This window comes from Homo sapiens, chromosome 1 (assembly GCF_000001405.40).
Source record: "Homo sapiens chromosome 1, GRCh38.p14 Primary Assembly".
Lineage (NCBI taxonomy): Eukaryota > Metazoa > Chordata > Mammalia > Primates > Hominidae > Homo > Homo sapiens.
In genome coordinates this window covers 234,205,512-234,226,842 of record NC_000001.11, presented here as the reverse complement: position 1 = coordinate 234,226,842, position 21,331 = coordinate 234,205,512, and the positions used below count along the sequence as shown (strand labels likewise).

Below are 21,331 nucleotides of genomic sequence, written 5' to 3'. Positions count from 1 at the left end.
TCCTGAGGGCTGTCAGGCAATAAACCCGCCACCTGCAAAATCACACTTTTTGCTTGTGACCAAAGACTCTTGACCAAAGAGAGAAAGGATTCACACTCTTTGGTTAAGCAGAAGTAGTACCTAGAGGCAATGTCTGCACAGCAGAAGGAAACTCAGGTCACAATGGGTGAGCTGAAGGTCGAGGTTAGCTACCAACTCATTCGGGTACCAAGGCACATCCTTAGTCCCATGAGCTGTCCACTGCTTAGGCCTGAGAAAATGATGAATTGGGTGCTTTTTTTTTTTTTTTTTAACTTAATGTAAGTCACTTCTACAATGAAAAGCAAGAAAGAATGGAAAGTCATTCATTCTCATCTCATAAAATGGCCCTTTTGAACTTTCAAGAGACCAATAATGTTTCTTTTATGAGCTTCCCCGAGAATAAGTGGACCCTTGTTGAGTCCTTTCTGAAAAAGTCTCCAGAGAGTTTACCCTTAGAAAGTGCTCAAGTCCTTTCTTTAGGGTAAGGGACCCAGAGCGGGGATCAAAGACCACCAGCTGGCTGGTGTGACTCAAGCCTTTCAAATGTAAAGGAGATAGAATTGCACAGGAAATGGGAGATGATGCCTTGCAACTGACATCTATTTCAGTAAGGTCTATAGAGTTATTTTATTTGTTTACAGCTTTATTGAGATATAATTCTCATACTATAAAATTCAGTTAAGTACACAACTCAGTAAGTTTTAGCAAATTTGAATTGTGAAACCATTACCATAGTATCATTTTGGAACATTTCTATCATGCCGAAACGAGTTCTTGTGCCCATTTGAAGTTCTCCCTGTTCCCAGCCTCAACCCTAGACAACCATGAATGTGTTTTCTGTCTCTATAATAATTTGCATATCCTGAACATTTCATATACATATACAGACTTTCACATCTGACTTCTTTCATTTAACATCATGTCTTTGGGGTTTATCCACGTTGTAGCGTGTGTCAGCAGTTCATTCTTTTGATGCCTGAAGAGAATTCCATTGTATGGATATACCAAATTTGGCTTATCCATTCATCTATCGATGGACATGCAGATTGCTTTCAGTTTGGGGCTGCTGTGAAGAATGCTGCTATGAACATTCACCTATAAGTCTTTGTGTGGATATATATTTATTTCTCTTGGGTGGACTAGTTTTTAGGCCACTCATTCAACAAATCTTATTTGACCACCTACTTTGCGGTACAAGGCAGATAGAACTTTTCCCTCATGGAGCTTGCTTAGTCCAAGTGGCAGTGCTTAAAGTACCCACATTTTAGAGGCTTAAGTGCATCTAATTGCGTCCAAATGGGATACAGTTGAGAGCTGCTCTGGAAACTAGAGTTCCAGCTTCCCCCATCCCTCAACTCCTGCCCCTTTTTCCTAGACTGCATGAAAGACAGGGTCTGATGAAAACTTTCCCATTTATTGATTACTGATGAGTACACCATCCCAGGACCTGGCCAACAAACCAAAAAGTTTTGCAAAATGAGGAGCTTAGAAGAAAGCTTTTGTTTATGGCCATTTGCAAGTGTAACTTGTCTTCCAAACAATCCATTTCAGGCTTTGTTTATCTTTTCTACTCATTAAATACTTGCTCAGTGAATTTATGTGTGACATTATTTTTAGGCAGTGATGTAGAGGAAAGGGGGGGAGACTTGCAGAAAAGGCTTTCACACGCGTAAGGCCAACTACATGCCCCAAACGTCCCAAAGCAATTCGCACTTCACGTGTCCCAACCCACTTGCCCTTTCCAGATCATCCATATGGATTCCTGGACTTTGGGTCAGAAAACGCTGCCACCATTCACATGCGGCCGAAGCCCCAGTCATGCTCCTGACTAGCATAGGTTCCAGGGAAAGAACATAATCTATAGATAATTGAAGTTAGGTGTTGACCGTGGGTAAAGGAAAAGGAGATAGTATGGAGAATTAAAGGGGCAAGTGGTGGTTAGACACCCAATACATACACCACACTCTCTGCCAGTAGATGTTACATATCTTTTTATATCCATCATGATGGTGGAGATCAGTAAGGTTATTTCTCTTTTGTATATTGGACAGCTGAGGTTCTGAGAGTTAATATCCCAAGGATACAAATCAGTGAGCGGCTAAGGCACTGTTTTAACTTGGTTCTGTTTGACTCCAGAGCATCAACGGGAATACAGAATGTACTCATTCCTCTCGTTCTCCCCTTTGAAAGTTGACCAAGGTCATGGTGCTGAACATCTCATTCAGAACTGCATGTCACTAAAGAGGGACTTCAGGTATGCAGAGGACAGAAACACATTTGTAACATGGAAAAGACTGAGTGTGTATGGGACCCTGCACTAGGATATGCTATTCTGGAAAGAGGGTGTTATGGACTGAGTGATTGTGTTCTTCCCAAATTCACGTGTTGAAGCCCTAACATCCAGTGTGGTTGTGTTTGGAGACAGGGCCTCTAAGAAAGTAATTAAAATTAAAGAGGCTGGGAGCAGTGGCTCACGCCTGTAATCCCAGAGGTTTGGGAGGCCGAGATGGGTGGATTGCTTGAGCCCAGGGGTTCAAGACCAGTGTTGGCAACATGGCGAAACTCCATCTCTATAAAAAAATACAAAAAATTAGCTGCGCATGGTGGTGCTTGCCTATAGTCCCAGCTACCTGGGAGGCTGAGGTGGCAGGATTGCCCGAGCCCAGAAAGTTGAGGCTGCAATGACCAGTGATTGCGCCAGTGCACTCCAGCCTGGGCATAGGAGTGAGACCCTGTCTTAAAAAACAAACAAACAAACAAACAAACAAAAAACCGAAAAAGGTTAAATGAGGTCATAAGGATGGAATTCTAATCTTGTAGGATTAGTTTTCTTATAAGAAGAGACATCAGGGAGTTTGTTTTCTATCTCTCTCTCTCCATACACACATCAAGAGAAGGGGTCATGTGAGGACACAGAAGGCGGCCATCTGCAAACCAAGAAGAGAGCCCTCCCCAGAAACTAAATTTGCCAGCACCTTGATTTCAGATTTCCAGCCTCCAGTACTGTGAGTAAAAAAATGTCCTTTTTTAAAAGCTATGATATGTTGTTATGGTGGTGCTAGCTAATACAAGGGGTTACAGTAGAGAGTGTACTGTGCTTGAGAAGGTGTAAGGCATGGACCAAGAGCCACCACTCTGCAGAATGTGTATGACATGCTACAGATGGCAGAGTATCTATTTTGATAACCTATTAGGAGAATAAATAACTTTATTGGGTTATAAATATTATATGCTATCTTATATTTGTTTGCCTCCTGTGAATTGCTTGAATCTTTGTTGTAAAGTTATTTCTGGAGGCAGTGTGTAGAGCTAGGAGAAAACATGAGAGTTGTGAAGTTGTGTTTAAAAACAAAATTAGTGTTTTGCACTGGGAAATTATTCCTCTGGTTAGGATAAAGAATCAGGAGGTGAACAAAAGTTGCCTTTTGGGGCTGGAATGGGGTGGTGGAGGCTTCTTTGAGATGTGTCTGATCTACTCTGAAGCAGTCTGAGAGCTGGTAAGAGTCAGGTCGTGATCCAGCTCACTTTTCCCACCCATCATCACCATCTCAGTAATCAGACACCTAAATCGGCATTTCTACCTCACTTCCATTTCCTTAGAGGTCCCGAATAACTCTCAAAGGTCTGAATAATTTCATGCAGTGGATTTAAGACAGTCCTGGAATGTACTCAGCCTAAGGTGAATCATGACTCTCGAGAAACTGACAGGGTATGGGTAAGCCTTAAATAATACTGTTTGTGCCCTGGGGGAAGAGTCAGCGCCTCCTCTTGGGAGGAAGCAGAGCGCTATGTTTTAATACTTGGTCTGAAAGCATCTGAACTTGAGGGCATCAGTTTTAATCCATATGCACTGCTAGTTATGGCTTGTGCAGCCTCCTGGAATTTCACCATTTTCTGTGGCCTGGGCACATGATGCCTCCATATACACCAGTTGGTTTACCTGGTGATGTTTTGGTGCTGCTAATGACCTGCACACAAAACCCAGACAAATATGCATACTCCTCTTTGCTGGTGTTTTTCCTCATCAGATTGTTAGCATCTCCAGATTCTTTGGCTTCTATGTGGACTGAAATTTGGCTGTTGGAATGCAAAGGATGAACCACAGTTTTACAGGAGGGCAGGTTATATGCAGGACAGTACCTCCAGGCAAAGACACTGCCCTCTCCTGCAGCCTGAGGGCTCTTGAGGAAGAGGGACATGCTGGAGCCTTCTCCTGTGAAGTGGCCAGCCCACCAGACTCACCAAGGCGGTGCTGGGCAGCTATGGGGGGATGGGGGAGTATGGCATCTCTGGTCCTCTAATCAGAAGAGGTGTGGGTTTTGGTTGGATGGAGTGTTAGATGAAAATGAGCAGAACAGAGCAAAATTAAAACACCGTTTTCTCAAACATAACTCCAGTTCTCAGCAGAGTCGTTATGCATCAACAAGGCAGGACTAAACTTGCTTGGTCAAGGACCAAGGTGGGGTTGGCCTTAAGGTATTAAACATGACCTCTCAGGCTTAATCTCCTACCCAAGGATAGACATTCTGAACCAACAATGGGTGACATGGCTCAGCTCATTCCTGGGCATTGAGATTTAACACAGAAACACAGGGACTGAGACCAGCCCCAGGCAAAGCTTGGAAGATGCACAGCTTCTCTTTGGCTTCTTTCTGTACCTCCTTTTATGCCATCACATCATCTGGGGTTCTGTCTCATGGAGCAAGTTGTACTCATGTAGCTAGTCTTTCCATCCCCTGCTCAAATACCAAAATCTACTCTCAGAAAGAGCACCTGTTTACATGCACACATATGCTCACATACATGCACATGCTAGATTCCTTATTGTTCCTGGTCTCAATTCCTCAAAGCTCTGCTCTCTGACTATAGCTAATGAAGAGTTTTAATCAGATAAGCCAATCTCTGCTAATGATTAAGCTACTTAGTAGACTCTTAGAATGTTCCTGCCTAAAAAGACAATGGAAGATCTATTATAATCCTCTTTCTTTGCAGCAGGAGAAGCCCAGGCTGCAAGAGGCCAGGCGACATGTCCAATATATTAATTAGCTAATGGAGGAGCAGAAAATGACACTTGAATGTCCTGACACCTCATCCAGTGTTCTTCCCTCCAGTCCCTTCTCCTGAGCTACATGATGTCTTAACCAATGGAAATGTATTATGCGCCAAAAAGGCTTTTAAGAATTAAATCTCTTCTTGGATGTCCCAATAGGGCTGTTCTGAACCCTTTCCCACCTCTTCAAGTCTTCAGTCCCCATCCATCATTTGCGGCAAACGATGACACTTCCTACATTACAAAGATCAAAGTCACCAGCACAGCTCCCTTAGCTTCCCTCCTCTGCATCTTCATGATTCTTGTCTTTGCCCATTAAGCTTTCTCTGTTCCTTTTCAAAGCCGATCATTCCCTTTCTCTGTCTTGTGCTTCCTCCCCGGTATGCTGCCTCCTCTAGGCCACCGTTGCATTAATTGTTGCATCAATCATCTTTCTTTCGGGGCAACCTCAGACCTGCCCTGGAATCAGCCTGGCTCTCTCAAAAGTTATCTCCCTCCCCCTTAAGACAGCATAGCTTCTCAAACTTCCCTCACTGTCAAACACTTCAACCAAGTATCCAGTAATGCCCCCACCCACCCTTGCAATCTGGCTGGCAGACCAGCACCCGCTTAAAACTGTTTCCACAAAATCACCCTCTCTTGGTTGCATCTGACACATCACTCTCTCTCTTTCTTCTCGGTTTTCTTCTGGTTGTCTCCATGCCACCGTACTATCTGAGTTCTCTGGTCTGGCCGGTCAAACTTCTCTCCTGCCTCCCTTATGTCCTAAATGTGCACGGTCACCAGGATTCTGTGCTTGCCCATTTATTTCCATATCACCTGATTGGTTTCTCAGGCTTCACCACCTCTTTCTGCCACTTCCCTGCCTCCTACATACCTGTGTTTGCAGGCATTGGCCTCAAACTCAACTTTTCTAAACGTGACTCCCCCATCTCTCCCTCCCAGATGAGTTTCCCTTCCTATCTTCACTGTTACTGCTAATGGCATCTCCATTCCCAGAATTGTTTAGGCATAATCTTCAAAGCTGTATTTCATGGCTCTTTTCAGCCTTCCTACTTCACACTCTCACCACAGCCTGTTGATTCCTCCTCTATCCTGTCCTTGTCCTTGCCATCAGATGGTACAGTGGTTAGGACGTGGGCATACCACATGGCAGTTGTCTCAGAGAGTGGGTTACCTGATCCCCCTGCAATCCAAGTCCTCATTGCACAGTGGGAATTACGTTAGGAGCCACTGTAGAGGCATGTTGTGAGGACTAAATGAGGCAACCCAGGTCAAGGGCTCATGGCGAGGAGGAAGCAAATATTACTACCGCAGTTATTACCATGAGCTCATGTGTGGACTGCTGCTGTCACTCCCCAACATGTCTCCTTGTCACCACTGGATACTTTCCAGCAGAGTTTAAAAAATTTTTCGCTATACCTTCAATATGACACACACGTATGAGCATGTACACATGAGCACACACACACACACACCCCTGAAATGAAAGCATCTTGGATCCACTCTGTCTCTTATTACATTTGATAGACAGTGGCAGTTTTTATTCTATTCTAATTCCTTTGATAAGAAATACTTATTGCGACTGATGAAAGAGATTTCATAACCCAGTTTGAACACCACTGCTGCCCATGACCGTCTTTTCTCAGTTTCGGATGGTGTTTTCTTCTCTTCTCTGGCTCCCCCTGTTTCAATCCTGTCTTCCGAGTCCAGCGTTCAGGATGCCTCAGCATCTGCCCATGGTCTAGCTTAACCTCCCCTCCTCCTGCTTCTTCTGATCACTACGCTCTGGCCCAGTAGACTGCCTGCTGGTCTCCCAGCGCCACCCTCTCCTAGCTCTGCGCCTTCGTCTGTGGCTCCCTCTGTCAGGAAATGCTGTGTTCTCACCTCCCACCTCTGACAGCCCAGGGCAGAGGCAAACTCCTCTACCATGCCATCCCGACCGTGCTTCCAGGAAAAGCAGTTCCAATAAATGTTTAGGCCGTCACCTGGAGTGTGGTGACAAGAAGAATTCTGAGGCCACATCCAGGCTCAGCAGGAAAGAGTATCCTGTCAGATCAGGTCATTTTGGCGAAGAAGGGGGTAATGACGGCAAGCAAGAGTGCTGCGCAGGGGCCATCTGCGTCCCAGCCAGAACTGAGTTCACCCTCAGCTGAAATGCAACATTTACTTTATACTTCTTCCATAGAATCAAAAACATTACATTTCAGCATGCATTCTTTATTGGTATGCCTTTCTGACATTCCTCACTCGATTGGAAGCTCTGTTGGATCAAGGATTATGTTTCACTCCTCTTAGAATCCTCCCAAACATCTGGTTCATTCTCTTGCGTATATTAGGTAAAATATTTGATCACTACATGAATGACTTTTGCCACTGAAGTTTCAGACCTAGAGCTAGCCAATCAGGGAAATATTTTGGGTTTGGGGAAACTCTTTGGCAGTATACTTCTCAAGAATCCTCTTGGACTGGGCCAGCATCCTGGGTCTTTATATACTATTAATTGAGCATTCCAGGATAACCGTCTTATCCTGTTGACAGGAACAAGGTAGTCAGACCTACTCTGGGGGCAGCTGAGATCACCCAACACTCCCAAAGGAGAGGCACTAAGAATATGGCACACAGCCATGGGGCCTATGAACCCCCCATGGGGGTCCCAACCACTGAGTTATATTAGTTATATTACAGTGGGAGCTTTTTTTTTTTTTTTTTTTTTGAGATGGAGTCTCTCTATGTCACCAGGTCACCAGGCTGGCGTGCAGTGGCATGATCTGGGCTCACTGCAACTTCCGCCTCCTGGGTTCAAGTGATTCTCCTGCCTCAGCCTCCCAAGTAGCTGGGACTGCAGGTGCACGCCACCATGTCCAGCTAATTTTTGTATTTTTAGTAGTGACAGGGTTTCACCATGTTGGCTAGGATGGTCTTGCTCTCTTGACCTCATGATCCACCCACCTCGGCCTCCCAAACTGCTGGAATTACATACAATGGGAGCTTTAGGGAGCATTTACTGAGCATCTACAAAGTGCCATGAGCTGATATAATTCTCTCTCCTACTCAAATGAAATGCAGTTGTGCAAAGGTCTTGCAACATTTGCAGCCAGGTAGATATAGATTTGAAGCCTGGGATCCTTGCTTTCTAATTACAGTTCCTTCGTGAATGAGTTTTCTGAGCCTCAGTTTCCTTATCTATAAAGTTGGATAACAATACTTACCCTTGCTTAGGGAAAAAATAGAGATAATGGAACAATCTCTCCTAGCATAGTACCTGCAATATAGGAGGCATTCATTAGCAAAAACTATTATTTGAGTATTAAGAGCAAGATGTCATCACCCCTCCTTTCCTAGGACGGAACTGATTCCTGGAGAGCTTTATTCATTAGCCAGAAATCACTCACCTAGCATGACAGCTGGATAGACCCAGTCCATCTAATTCCAAAGCCCTCACCCTTTCCACAACACTACTTGCTGCACGCCTCTTGGGGGAATTCATTGTACTGTTCTCAATGATTAATCCCTATTGAATGTAATTTCACTGAACATGAATGAGTTGATTGTGAGTAGAGCTGATCCCAGTAAACACTAGTCTATTAGAGATGTGCTACTGACCAATGCTCTGCTTCTGAAAGGAAAGCCAAGCAAAGGATCTGTGAAAACAAGGTATGTTTTTAGACATGACAGATGCCATCAATCTCGCCAGAACACACTTTTCAAACCTTAACCCCTATCTAAGGCCCAGCCCCACTCTCCTCATGCTTCTGGGCTGAGCCCTAGCATCCATGTTCTCTCTGCCTGAAACTGCCTCTCCTCCCCTCTGCACCAACAAGCTTTCTCATATCCCCCCAGCCTCAGCTGTGATGCCTCATAAGGCCTCCTCCTCAGGAAGGCCCCCTCCTTAGAATGGCTCCATCTTAGAAAGGCCTGTTCCTCAGGAATATCTCCTCAGAAAGGCCTCTTCCTGAGGAAGGCTTCCTTCTTAGATGGCCTCTTCCTCAAAAAGGCCCTTTTGTTAGAATGGCCTCCTCCTCAGAGATCTTTCTGAGGAGGCTTCCCCGGCAAGGCCTTCTCCTTAGAAGCCCTCCTTCTCAGAAAAGCCTCCTCTTCTTAGGAATATCTTCTCCTCAGAAAGGCCTCTTCTTAGAAAGGCCTCCTTCTCAGAAAGGCCTTCCCCTCAGAAAGGCCCCCCTCAGAAAGTATTCCTCTGTAGAAACCCTCCTCCTCATGAAGGCCTCCTCCTCAGGAACACCTCCTCAGATTGCTCAACTCTCAGTGTCCCCGTGACACCTTGCTTTTCAGTTCGATACCAGAACTTACTACTTTGTATTTGATAATTTATCTATCTATCTGTATGTCTCTTCCCCTCTAGACTAAAACGTCCTTAAGAGAATGAAGCTAGAATTGTTCCTTTTTGCCTTTCCAGGGCCTTGCTAAATTGTCACAGGACACAGAGTAGGGTTGGATGAAGTATTTGTTGAGTAAATGAAGTCATCTTGCCCATCTTCCTGTGTTTGAGTTTAACCAAGCTTTGCCTTTTCTATTTTGGTTTTATATGTACCACATGCTGGTGCCTTCTTGCCTCCCCTTAGATGACACACTCTGCAAGCTAATAAATATTCCTCGCTGGCTGCATTCCCTCCCTGTAGCCTGTCTGCCATCCATACAGAAACACCCACAGCATGGGGACCACCTTGCCCTGTGCATTCAAGTTAAAATGAAATGATTCAACACTTCCAAAACCAGCACATAAGATGCAAATGGTTTCCAAAAAATAGACCAAAAGCCAAACTGAATAAAAACACCAAGGAAAAAAACTAGGCAGAGAGAAAGAGCTATATGTGAGCCAGGCATACCAAGAGCAGGTTTTATGAGGCCCCGAGGGGCAGAATTTTGCATGGGATACTTGTAGGTATCCCACGAAAAATGCAACTGGGGGCTTGCCAGGCATTTTCAGCTACCTCTACCTTATTGCATCTCCTCACAGCCTGCTGAAGTAGGTTGTTCCTTCTCTTTTACGTTTGCGGAAACTGAGGCTGTGTTCGTGATTTACACAAATCCAACTGGAAAAGGGGCAGGGCCCAGTCTTGATCCTCAATCTCACCATTTCTTAGTTCACTATACATTTCCGTTATCCACAGGCATTTATGAGGAAATGCTAGTTCCAAAGCCAAGCCCGTGGCGAGGCAGCTGCTGGCGTTAGCAGGTGCAGGAGACTCAAAGCTCTTTTGGCAGCAGCCCTAAGGGACTTTTTGGGGGGTTGGTGGTTAGTGGGAGATAATTTTCACTTTCATTCCCTGAAGGCAACCTCCAGGCTTGGCCATAGGGAAGTACCTGTGCCTCGCATGCCACTCACTGCCTCCTGCAGCACCTCTGAGGCCACAGCACCCAGTTCAGGTAGCCCCACCATCCGCGTCCTGCCCCACTTCCAGTGCAGTTCGAACCTGTCCTGCCTAAGGTGGGCTGGGAGTTTCCCAGGGAGACCCCCTGCTGCTGGAGAGCAGAACCAATCTGTCCTACTAGGAGGTAGGAGTGGGCAGCTTCCCATGAGGACCCTATGAGTGAGCAGACACTCACTCCCTGCTTCCCTCAGAGAAATAAATGGCCAATCCTTCCCTCCCCAATTCACACATGCATGTGGGCAATGTCTGGGTAGGCTTAGAAATACAAACACCCCTGGAAGAGGTAGCACTTGCACTAAACTCAGGTGTAGATGGCTGATATCAAGTCATTCCTGAGGTTGGGATGGAGGAGAGAAGAAGACAGCCACAAGAAGGAAAAAAACCCAACCTCCTAAAGATAGAAAATGTTGAGAAATAGGTAAGTAGTTGCAGTTCAGTGCAAACTGATGTTCTGGAAAAAATGCTTGAGCTTTGGATCGGACAGCCCAGGATTCCATTCCTGCTTCACCACCTACCAACTGTGGGTCTAGGACACGTTAACCCACCTTGCTGGGCCTCACAGTGCTCCTCAGTAGGATGGGGATCACAGTACTAGGGCAGCTGCAGGCAGGCCTGTGTGGACAGCTAAGCTTGGGATATACAATTACCAAGCCAGCCTCTGTCTTGTCCTCGCTGGTTCTGAGATTCATTGTAATAAACAAGAAGTCACGAGTGGGAAGCAGGGTCAACAGTAGCCTAGAGAAGTCCAGGCTTCCTGGGAAGGGCAGAAGCCAGGCTCTGTCGGAGCCCATGGCTGCCCCTCATTCACCGCTGATGCTCATGGGCTCTGTTAGCTCAGCACAAGCAAAAGCCTAGAGGGGAGCTCCTGGGACCCAGGGGATGGTCTGTCTGCCTCACCTGGCCAAGGTGGCTTGCTCCTGGCAGAGGGAGTTAGTCATTCCACCTCTGCCTCCTGGGAGGAGGAGTTAAGAACTGGGACTGGCCCTCTGCCCCCCTTCTCCATTGGAAAGCAAGGCCCCTTAGGCCAGCAGAAGCCAGCTGTGTCTGAGGAAGCTCTCCTCGGTGGGCTGCTTCTTCCCCTGTCCTCTCGCTCACATTTCCTGGGTGGGAGCAGTTCCAGGCAGAAAGGACAACACGGGGAGGAGGACACCTTCTGGGGGCCTCTCACAGCCCTTCCAATCCCTCTCCAGGGCCTGGGAAAGAGCCTGTTTACAGACTGGTGCTGGCTCTTCCCTCACCTGTGCGCCCCGCCCATTCCCAAAGAGCAGGGCAGTCAGTTGGCTGGTGGCCGGAAAGGCTTCGGAACACGCAGGACAGACGTCTCCTTAGCCCGCTGCAGCCCTCTCCCGCCTCTACCAACTGCGGGCAGCACCTTTGGTCGGCCTGGGGGTGAGGCACAGAGCTCCACACCCAGGCAACTCAAGTGTGTGTGTGGTAAGGGGACACTGGGAGCGGCTGGACGACCCCCTCCTGCCGAACAGACAAGAGCCCCAGGACAAACTGGGATGGAGGTGAGGGTGCAGCTGCTGCCAGATGCGCTGGGTGCTGCCCAGGAAGGAGAGGGTTGGGGAGCCGGGTGCTCACTCGCCGCAGCAGCTCACTCCTGCTCGCCAGGGAGCTCAGGGCAGCCCCTGAAGCTGCCAGATCCCCCCACGCAGGCGGCGGCGCTCTGCACTGCGGAGCCGCGTCCTGGGGGAGCAGTACCCCCAGCCCCGGCGCCCCGCAGCCAGACAGCCCCCCTCAGGGTGGCAGCATTCCCCGGCTAGGGTGCAGGGACCCCCGGGGCGAGGCGGCCGCGCATTACCTTCCACTTTGGTAAGGGTCAGGACCGGACTGTTGCAGGCGCTGAGCGGGGCCACCCGGGCCGAGTGCTTCTTCATGATGAGCCGGCCGCCTGCAGGAGCGCTGCCGCCGATCGCCTACATCCTGGGGCCGGCTGGAGCGCGTCTCTCCCGGGCCCGTGGCCGACGCGGCCCTCTGCCGCCGGGGAGCACCAGCGGCTCGCCCCTCTCAGTCCCGGCCTCCCCGGCTGCCCGCCGGGCTCCGGTTGCCGCGTTGCTCACTGCGGCGGCCGCCCTGCAGCGCACATCCTCCCCGGCCGCGCAGCCACTCCACACACACGCGCGCACAGCCTCCTACTTGGAGGTTGCTGCAAACTCCAACGTCACGTACAAGTGCACTCCCTGCTCCCACCCCGCAGCTCACCTGCTCCGCCCTCCTCCCCGGGACGCCCAGCCCCGCAGCCCTCATCCCTGTCTTCCTCCCAGCCAGGTCCTGACTGCAGCCTCTGGCCACCACCTCTCTGAGAAGCCCTTTAAAAGGACCAGCGCCTGCGGAGGGGAGACCCTGAGAACTTAAGCCTCAGCGTTGCACAAGTTTAAAAAGGGAAGTGCTTGACTTTGGATTGAGAGTTGACTCTTCAGTGTGCGGAAGTCCTGAATTATTTCACAGGGAGAGTTAGAAAAAGCAAAGCTTCCCAAGGCTGCCATTCACTTCTTGAGTCTAGAGGCACATTATCTTGTCTGGCCCCGTGGACAGCTATTTTTTTGCGGGGTGGAGTGGGGGGTGGTTCAAACACCACAGAAGCAAAACAGCCACAAGAAAACAAAGGCTTGAAGAGATTTCTGCTCCCACCCCACCGCCTCAGTCTGGAGATCCAAACTCACCTCGGTAGCAGGAAAGCTCCTTTTCTGCCCAGCTCCCAGGTTCTTGCTTCAGCTGCAGATCTGACATTTGCCTCTGCAGGCACCAGCTTCACTGCTGGCACTCAGACACAGCTGTAAGCTACTGGCCGATGGTGCTCATTAAAAAGCTATGACATATACCTATTGCATCACTTGCCAGCACAATCCCTGAGTGACCACTGAGTCCGGAGGGGCATTTATCCCATGACAGTGCATCATCAGAGGTGCCCTGCTATCATCCCTGCAGGTAGGACACACAGGGCTCATGCAGCCCCAGAACTCCCAGGGCCTTGTGTTCATCTCCTTTACAGATGCCCAGCCATCAGTGTGGGTCCCAGCCTCAAGGATCAGTTGAGATTCAAGGTGGGTTTTGTTATTATTGTTGGTTAGATCTTTGCCCAGAATTTCAGAACCTTCAATGCTACCTGGTTTCCTGTCTCAAAGTTAAAACTTCATTGTATTATGTCATTCAAGTCCCCACAAGGGTAGCTCTGTGGAGTGGTACAGGGGAGAGTGAAACTCAAGCAATAGGGTTTCCTAGCTCAGCACCTACCAGATGTTTCTGGTGACATCCACCTGCAACCCCCAGCTCTCTGGCAGAAGTGGCTCCTAGGAGTTGCTCTTGTTGGATTCTTATTAATTGCCCTCTTGAACAGCTGTAATGAATGGAATGGCTCTGATCTCCAAAAGGCCAGGGCTTCTCAGGGTTGCTTCCTCACCACTACAGCCAAGGAAAAGGTATATAGGGTCCCTGCAGAGCCCTCTAGTGGTACCCCTCCACATTATACGCCTCTTACAGGAAACGTTCCAAGACTCCTAGTGATGACACTACAATAAGCCAATAAGCCACTTCCTTCTTTGGAATAAGCTTACAGCAAAAGAATTACATGTTGTATATTAAAGAGGATCTTTTTACTACAAAATAATACTTCTATGTGTTTCATCAAGTTCATCAATAAAATTTATTATATATAGTAACTAAAACAAATATCACATAATAATTGCACACGTTTTTAAGCACATGCTATGTATTATTTATGTTAACTGTTTTACATAAATAATTTCATTTCCTACTCTCAAAAGCTCTGTAAGATTGTTGTTATCTCGTTTCATAGATGGGGAAACTGAGGCTGAGAGGATAATGTCGCAGGTCACAGACTGAGTAACTGGCCAAGCGGGGATTTAAATCCAAGTGTGAACTATTCAAAAGCCTGAACTTATAACCAGTACGTTATTCTCTTACATGTTGGAGAGATAAAATGCAAAAATTCCTCATAGCTATTCCAAGTCAGCTGAGAGATACGTGTCAAGTTTGAATGTGGTTTTGATATATGATACATGACTTCACCGTGCCTGAGCATCTGTACACTCCTGGGGAAACTGGTTTATACTTGTGCTGATGTGGATGTCCTCCAGCACTTCACATTGGCCTCTACACACGTGTTCTACTAGGCAAGTCACAATGACAAGTTGTACTAGTCTGTTTTCACCCTGCTGATAAAGACATACCTGAGACTGGGAAGAAAAAGAGGTTTAATGGACTTATATTTCCACGTGGCTGGGGAGGCCTCACAATCATGGTGGAAGGCAAGGAGGAGCAAGCCACGTCTTACATGGATGGCAGCAGGCAAAGAGAGTGCTTGTGCAGGGAAACTCCCCCTTATAGAATCATCAGATCTCATGAAACTTATTCACTATCATGAGAGCAGCATGGGAAAGGCCTGCCCCCATGATTCAATTACCTCCCAGTGGGTCCCTCCCACAACATATGGGAATTCAAGATGAGATTTGGGTGGGGACACTGCCAAACCATATCATTCTACCCCTGGCACCTCCCAAATCTCATATCCTCATATTTCAAAACCAATCTTGCCTTCCCATCTATCCCCCAAAGTCTTAATTCATTTCAGCATTAACTCAAAAGTCCACAGTCCAAAGCCTCATTTGAGACAAGGGAAGTCCCTTCCACCTATGAGCCTGTAAAATCAAAAGCAAGTTAGTTACTTCCTGGATAAATGGGGGTACAGGCATTGGGTAAATACAGCTGTTCAAAATGGGAGGAACTGGCCAAAACGAAGTGGCTACAGGCCTCATGCAAGTCCAAAATCTAGCAGGGCAGTTGAATCTTAAAGCTTTGAAATGCTCTCCTTTGACTCCATGTCTCACATCTGGGTCACACCAATGTAAGGGGGGGGTTCCCATGTTCTTGGGCAGCTCTGCCTCTGTGGCCTTGCAGGGTACAGCCTCCCTCCCAGCTGCTTTCATGGGCTGGCATTGAGTGTCTGTGGCTTTTCCAGGCACAGAGTGCAAGCTGTCTGTGGATCTACCATTCTGGGGTCTGGAGGACAGTGGCCCTCTTCTCATAGCTCCACTAGGCAGTGCCCCAGTAGGGACTGTGTGTGTGGGCTCTGACCCCAAATTTTGCTTTTGCACTGACCTAGTAGAGGTTCTCCATGAGGGTGCCACCCCTGCAGCAAACTTCTGTCTGGGCATCCAGGTGTTTTCATAATCCTCTGAAATCTAGGTAAAGGTTCCCAAACCCCAATCCTTGACTTCTCTGCACTTGCAGGCTCAACACCACATGGAAATTGCCAAGGCTTGGGGTTTACACCTCCTGAAGCAACAGCCCAAGCTCTATGTTGGCCCCTTTCAGCTACTGCTGGAGCAGCTCGGATGCAGGGCACAAAGTCCCTAGGCTGCACACAGAATGGGGACCCTGGGCCTGGCCCAGGAAACCATCTTTTCCTCCTAGGCTTCCGGGCCTGTGATGGAAGGGGCTGTTGTGAAGACCTCTGTCACGTCCCAGAGACATTTTCCCCATTGTCTTGGTGATTAACATTCAGCTCCTTGTTATTTATGCAAATTTCTGCAGTTGGCTTGAATTTCTCCCCGGAAAATGGGATTTTCCTTTCTATTGCATTGAGGCTACAAATTTTCTATTGCATCAGGCTGCACATTTTCCAAACTTTTATGCTCTGCTTCCCTTTTCAAACTGAATGCCTTTAACAGCACCCAAGTCACCTGTTGAATGCTTTGCTGCTTAGAAATTTCTTCTGCCAGATAACCTAAATCATCTCTCTCAAGTTCAGTTTCACAAATCTCTAGGGCAGGGGCAAAATGCCAAGAGTCACCTTTGCTCCAGTTCCCAACAAGTTCCTAATCTCCATCTGAGACCACCTCAGCTTGGACTTTTTTGTCCATATTGCTATCAGCATTTTGGGCAAAGCCATTCAACAAGTCTCTAGGAAGTTCCAAACTTTCCCACATTTTCTTATCTTCTTCTGAGCCCTCCAAACTGTCCCAATCTCTGCCTATTGCTCAGTTTCAAAGTCACTTCCATATTCTCGGGTATCTTTTCAGCAATGCCTCACTTTACTGGTACCAATTTACTATATTAGCCCATCTTCATGCTGCTGATAAAGACATACCCAAGACTGGGAAGAAAAAGAGGTTTAATGGACTTATATTTCCATGTAGCTGGGGAGGCCTCACAATCATGCTGGAAGGCAAGGAGGAGCAAGTCATGTCTTACGTGGATGGCAGCAGGCAAAGAGAGAGCTTGTGCAGGGAAACTCTCCATTATAGAACCATCGTTTCTCATGAGACTTACTCACTCTCATGAGAACAGCATGGGAAAGACCTGCCCCCATGATTCAATTACCTCCCAGTGGGTCCCTCCCACAACATATGGAAATTCAAGATGAGATTTGGGTGGGGACACAGCCAAACCATATCGTAAGTGCTCAATAAATATTTGTCTGTTTTTAAAATTCTACTTTCTGTTTAATGCAATGTTGTGTACAGAGTCAAATAGTTAACAAATATTGTTAAAGATCACTAAATCCTTTTTTTTTCACATGCAGCTTACCCCAGGAGTTTTTGATATTTGGGAGGTCATCACCTCCTCATGTCTGTTAACTTCTGCTTGCCGAAGAGGAGTTACTAATTGCCATCTCAACTTCTTCCCTTTAATTTTAAGCACTCCATGCTGTTTCTATTTTTCATTTTCCATACTCAATCCCATCAGTCCTATGTGCTCTGTCTGCTCTGTTGTGTTTCAACAGCTGCCCTGCCCTATCCTGCTACCCCTCAAAAAACCAAACTTCCCATACTCCTTTTCAAATCAGGAGTTTTCTGTCTAATTGACCATATGAATATGGATATTCCTTAAGTGAACACTTCTTTTTGGGAGTGGGATGTGGTGGGAATGCCTATTTAAAAACTCACATAAACAAAATTATCCAGGAAGCTAATGGTGTACTGGTGTATAAGCATGCACTACTGTTTTGAGAATTCCAACAATTTAAAGCTTCACTGGAGCTTTTTTTTTATTATGGCCTAACTGGAGTTAGGCCATAATAACCTATTCTAGGATACTTACAAAATTGCCCAAGCCCCACTTAAAAACTCAAATCTCACAAAAACTCAAATCTCACATTCCAAAAAAAAAGTGCTAATAATTCTTCCAAAAAAGAGAGCTGAGACCCCTGACATATCAATGGCAACAATACTGTATAAATAATATCCAGACAAAAGGATGGGTCATTTGACCTCTGACCCCTATTCCTCTTTTGAGGGTGTTAGCATGAGATAATATCTTGATGAGATCATTGGGCACCTATCTGTCTTGACTTTAGTATTACAGGAGCTGGGAAAAGGAACTGGGCTGACTTTTTCAGCTTTTACTCATTAAACAGGTCTTCCTTGTCATCTTCTAAGAATGTACTGTGCAACAGTTTGCTCATCAAAGCCAAGGATCTCCTCAGCGATGTGTGATGGTGTCTATTCTGATAGGAGCCTGTTCTTTATCACTAGCCCCACTCTCTTGTTTGTTTTTCATTGATATGGCTGGGAATTGGATGGGTATTTAATGACAATTTATGGTAGTCTGGTATGGCAGACTTATGAAGAGTGACTGGGTTTTGTGATCTCAGCAGAGGTCTGGATACTGAAGTGGGTGTGCTGGGTAGATATAGAAGTGAACAGATGCAGAGCTCACATGCCAGGAGTGTAAGTTTTATACTCCCTGCCTCCTCCCAACTCCTCACATGCAAACCACAGCGAAAGGCAGTAAAAAAGGAGTCCTAGATAAGAAAGGAGTCAAAATGCCCAGTTTCTCTGACCACCCAGGGGCTGTATTGAAATCGTGACCCTCAGGGCAAGGACCCAGCCATGGCCCTTTAGAATGAGAAAGCAGACAGGCCTGGGCTGATCATCAGGAAGAGGGTAGCTATGTTGGGCCCACCTGATTCCTCGGATTCTGGAGGTTTGTTACTCTTCTTCCTGGTACAGAATTCCAGCCTGGGTTGTACAAATAGCCTCTTGTTGCCCTACTTGGACTGGTTCACATGTACGACATCTACAGGGGCCTCTGGTCTATTCATTCCCATGCAGGGGTATGTAAATATCTATAGTCCCACTTTACGATTCCAATAAGGCATCAATCCATTTGCTAGAGTTAAGTGATACTTATGATTCCCTTGAGACCGACAGAGCATGGAAAATGCCTTAAAGTATAGCCAACATCTTGAGTTTGAACTCCAGCTCTTCCAGGAAGAAGCAGCCAACCTGCAGTGGCCACCAAGTCTCCTCTGGCCTCAGTTTCCTGATATGGGCCTGAAAGAATTGGACACCTTTGGCAGTTTTCCAGCTGTATATTTTTCTTTTCTTTTTTTCTTTCATAAAAGAGACAGGATCTTGCTCTGATGCCCAGGCTGCAGTGCCATGATGTGATCACAGCTCACTGCAGCCTTGAACTCCTAGGCTCAAGCAATCTTTCCACCTAAGCCTCCTGAGCAGCTAGGACTACAGGTGTGCACCATCACACCTGACTAATTTTTAAAAATTATTTCTTTTGTAGAGATGTGAGCTTACTATGTTGCCCAGGCTTGTCTAAAACTCCTGGTCTCAAGCAATCCTCCTGCCTTGGACTCTCAAAGCACTAGGATTATAGGCATGACCACCATGCCCAGCCCAAACTGTTTCTTGGTCTCTGCAAAGCAACTCTACTTTTATTTGTTGGAGTACTATGTTAGAATTGGTTTATAAAAGAGATGTCATGGCTAAAAGAAAGTTTAGAAAACCACCAACTAGGTAATCTCCTAGGTCTTGTTAGCCTTTAAAATTTGGGGTATATGAAATTATTGTCCTAGGTATTACAATTGTCACTGCCTACAAAGATCTTAACCATTATCTTTCATGTCTCCAGTTAATTAAATCGATCCTTGAGGAGGAAGGAAGGAAAGAAGAAAAAAGGAAGCAGGAAAGAGGGAGGGAGAAAGGAAGGAGGGAGGGAGGAAGGAAGGATGGAAGGAAAAAAGGTAAAGGATGGAGGCAGTCTATTAACAGGACCTGGAATTCTAGAATCTTCTAGAATTGCCTGCTTTATTCCAGATGTTCCTTTGCTGCCTGCATGGCACCAGGAGTGATGAAGCCACGGTGGCTCCCCTCTGCTCAGGTCTCTGTATCTCTCTCCCTGGCTTGATCTCAGAGGAAGCTTTTTTTGGAGACCAGGGCACTGGACTCAAGGTGAGGAGGGAGATCAGATGCCATTTAGTTCGGAAATAGCTGCCTGCTTGTGTTCCGGATGACTCATCGACCACAGCTGGCCTCCAGTCAGATTCCTCTGTGGAGTGGGAACTAGAATACTGACCTAAATCGGATCCTCGTCAACGCCAGGAGACAGCTCCCTTGGCTGGTGTCTGTTTCCAAGGGTGAATCAAGGAGAATGGCCCTCAGGCTGGGCTTGAGTCGGAGGAAGACGTCCGGATTTGGGAAGGAGGTTGATGCGGCTCCACTCCTTAGTTATTCCTGAGCACAGGCTGGCCGGGACCTGCAGGCAAGGTCTTGTTCAATGAGGTCCTCGGAGGCTCAACGTTGGGCAGACCCAGTTTCAGAAGTCCTGATCTCTGAGATAGGGGTCTCCTACGCACTGCGAAGCCCTTTGCCTCTCTCCGAAGGCAGCCATCATGTTCTGGCTTGCTTTGAAGTTATTTGTATACTTGCTACAGCTTCCTGCTGGGCTGTCAACTCTCTACGGTGGGGACCTTGGTAGTAAACAGGATATCAATAATCATTGTTGAGTGAACGAATGCGTGGAAAGTCACTAGGGCAGAAATAAGCAGGACTTTTCCAGGGGTCAAGGTGGGCACGTCTTTGGATGCAGGCAATGTGAGCCCTGGAAATAGCCCCCCCCCGGGAAATAGCGTCCCTTGGAAATAGTCCCCCCCACCCCCAGGAACCAGGAAAGTCCTGCCATGACTCAAAGGAGCGCCGCACAGTGAGAACCCTTTGGGTGCCGGATGCCTCTGGGCACCCTGCTCCTCACACTGTCCCTCATCCCCCGCTGGTTTCTTTTCTGCTACCTGAGAAACCGGCTCTCCTCCCCGACTGCGTGCTTAGGCCAGTGGATCTAGGAAATAACCAGGCCCTCTTAATGCCTGACCCAGCCTGACCCAGCTCTGCTGCTCCACTCATCATATAAACACCAGATGCCTGCAAAGATCACAAAAACTCTGCAGTGTTTTCCATGTAGGAGTGGTGCAGTGGGTTTATGGAGTGTCACACAGAGAGGTGCTGAAAAGTACTTGTCACATCTCCCTGCCTCTCCGCATTTCCTAGCTCCCCCAGCTGCCACGTGCCCCTCATCCCTATAACATCCTCACCAGCAAGTCCTCCCTCTCCACACCATCCTCCTCATCCACAGCGTGCCCTCAGCAGCAGGTCCTTCCTCCCAACATAGCCTTCTTCTCCTCCTTCCTCTACACGGACCCCTCACCCACCACCCCCTGCACCCCCAGGTCCCCTGGTCATCTCAGGCAAGAGGAGCCTCTTGGGGAGTGTCTTCTGCTATCTGCTCAGGCAGGGGGAGGCCCCTGGATTTCTGGCTCCTAAAACCCTCCTCCTTGCTCTGTTTGCTTTCCTGAGGGCTTGGTGCTGGCTTACTTTGCCTCTAGTGAGGAATTTTCTTCTGGATATTGGTGCACGCTTCTCTCCATCTATCTCAAAGAACAACTCCTCATAGCACTGGGTTTGACTCTTGGCAGAGTTTCTTTTATTGGAAGCCCTCATGCCTTTCTCTAGGCTTCTAGCTGTTTCTGCCCCTCAGACTGGCTTCAGAGAAAGGTCAGAGCCCTAGTGGAGTCCAGCAAGCCTAGATTCTCCAAGTGGGAGGGAGTTCAAGT

At 47.4% G+C, this 21,331-nt stretch overlaps 1 protein-coding gene and 1 long non-coding RNA gene across 3 annotated transcripts in view, besides 5 other annotated features; one reads left to right on the top strand and one right to left on the bottom strand.

The window, feature by feature from the left end:
• Window positions 1-21,331, bottom strand: part of SLC35F3 (solute carrier family 35 member F3) — a 419,836-nt gene that overhangs the window by 97,669 nt on the left and 300,836 nt on the right. The window contains exon 1 of one of the 2 annotated variants that reach the window (NM_001300845.2): window positions 12,269-12,624. The exons of the other annotated variant lie outside the window; for it this stretch is intronic. Coding sequence (NP_001287774.1) covers window positions 12,269-12,344 — 76 coding nt within the window. The 5' untranslated portion in view covers window positions 12,345-12,624. Of the gene's footprint in view, window positions 1-12,268; window positions 12,625-21,331 lie in introns of those variants that run through there. 2 annotated transcript variants of the gene reach the window in all.
• Window positions 10,447-10,536: an enhancer, noted in NCBI's record as "active region_2745". NCBI's record gives its function as "activates an Ori minimal core promoter by ATAC-STARR-seq in GM12878 lymphoblastoid cells {active_cell/tissue: GM12878}" and the evidence as "EXISTENCE:reporter gene assay evidence [ECO:0000049][PMID:35858748]".
• LOC124904553 (uncharacterized) lies at window positions 11,761-14,126 on the top strand. The gene is made up of 2 exons (XR_007066948.1): window positions 11,761-11,975; window positions 12,732-14,126. It is a non-coding gene; the product is annotated as an uncharacterized LOC124904553 (long non-coding RNA).
• Window positions 12,046-12,165: a silencer, noted in NCBI's record as "silent region_1968". NCBI's record gives its function as "represses an Ori minimal core promoter by ATAC-STARR-seq in GM12878 lymphoblastoid cells {active_cell/tissue: GM12878}" and the evidence as "EXISTENCE:reporter gene assay evidence [ECO:0000049][PMID:35858748]".
• Window positions 12,216-12,315: a silencer, noted in NCBI's record as "silent region_1967". NCBI's record gives its function as "represses an Ori minimal core promoter by ATAC-STARR-seq in GM12878 lymphoblastoid cells {active_cell/tissue: GM12878}" and the evidence as "EXISTENCE:reporter gene assay evidence [ECO:0000049][PMID:35858748]".
• Window positions 12,416-12,515: a silencer, noted in NCBI's record as "silent region_1966". NCBI's record gives its function as "represses an Ori minimal core promoter by ATAC-STARR-seq in GM12878 lymphoblastoid cells {active_cell/tissue: GM12878}" and the evidence as "EXISTENCE:reporter gene assay evidence [ECO:0000049][PMID:35858748]".
• Window positions 19,586-19,880: an enhancer, noted in NCBI's record as "tiled region #1313; HepG2 Activating non-DNase unmatched - State 10:DNaseD, and K562 Activating non-DNase unmatched - State 20:ReprD". NCBI's record gives its function as "activates a minimal TATA promoter and a strong SV40 promoter by Sharpr-MPRA in HepG2 and K562 cells {active_cell/tissue: HepG2 | K562}" and the evidence as "EXISTENCE:reporter gene assay evidence [ECO:0000049][PMID:27701403]".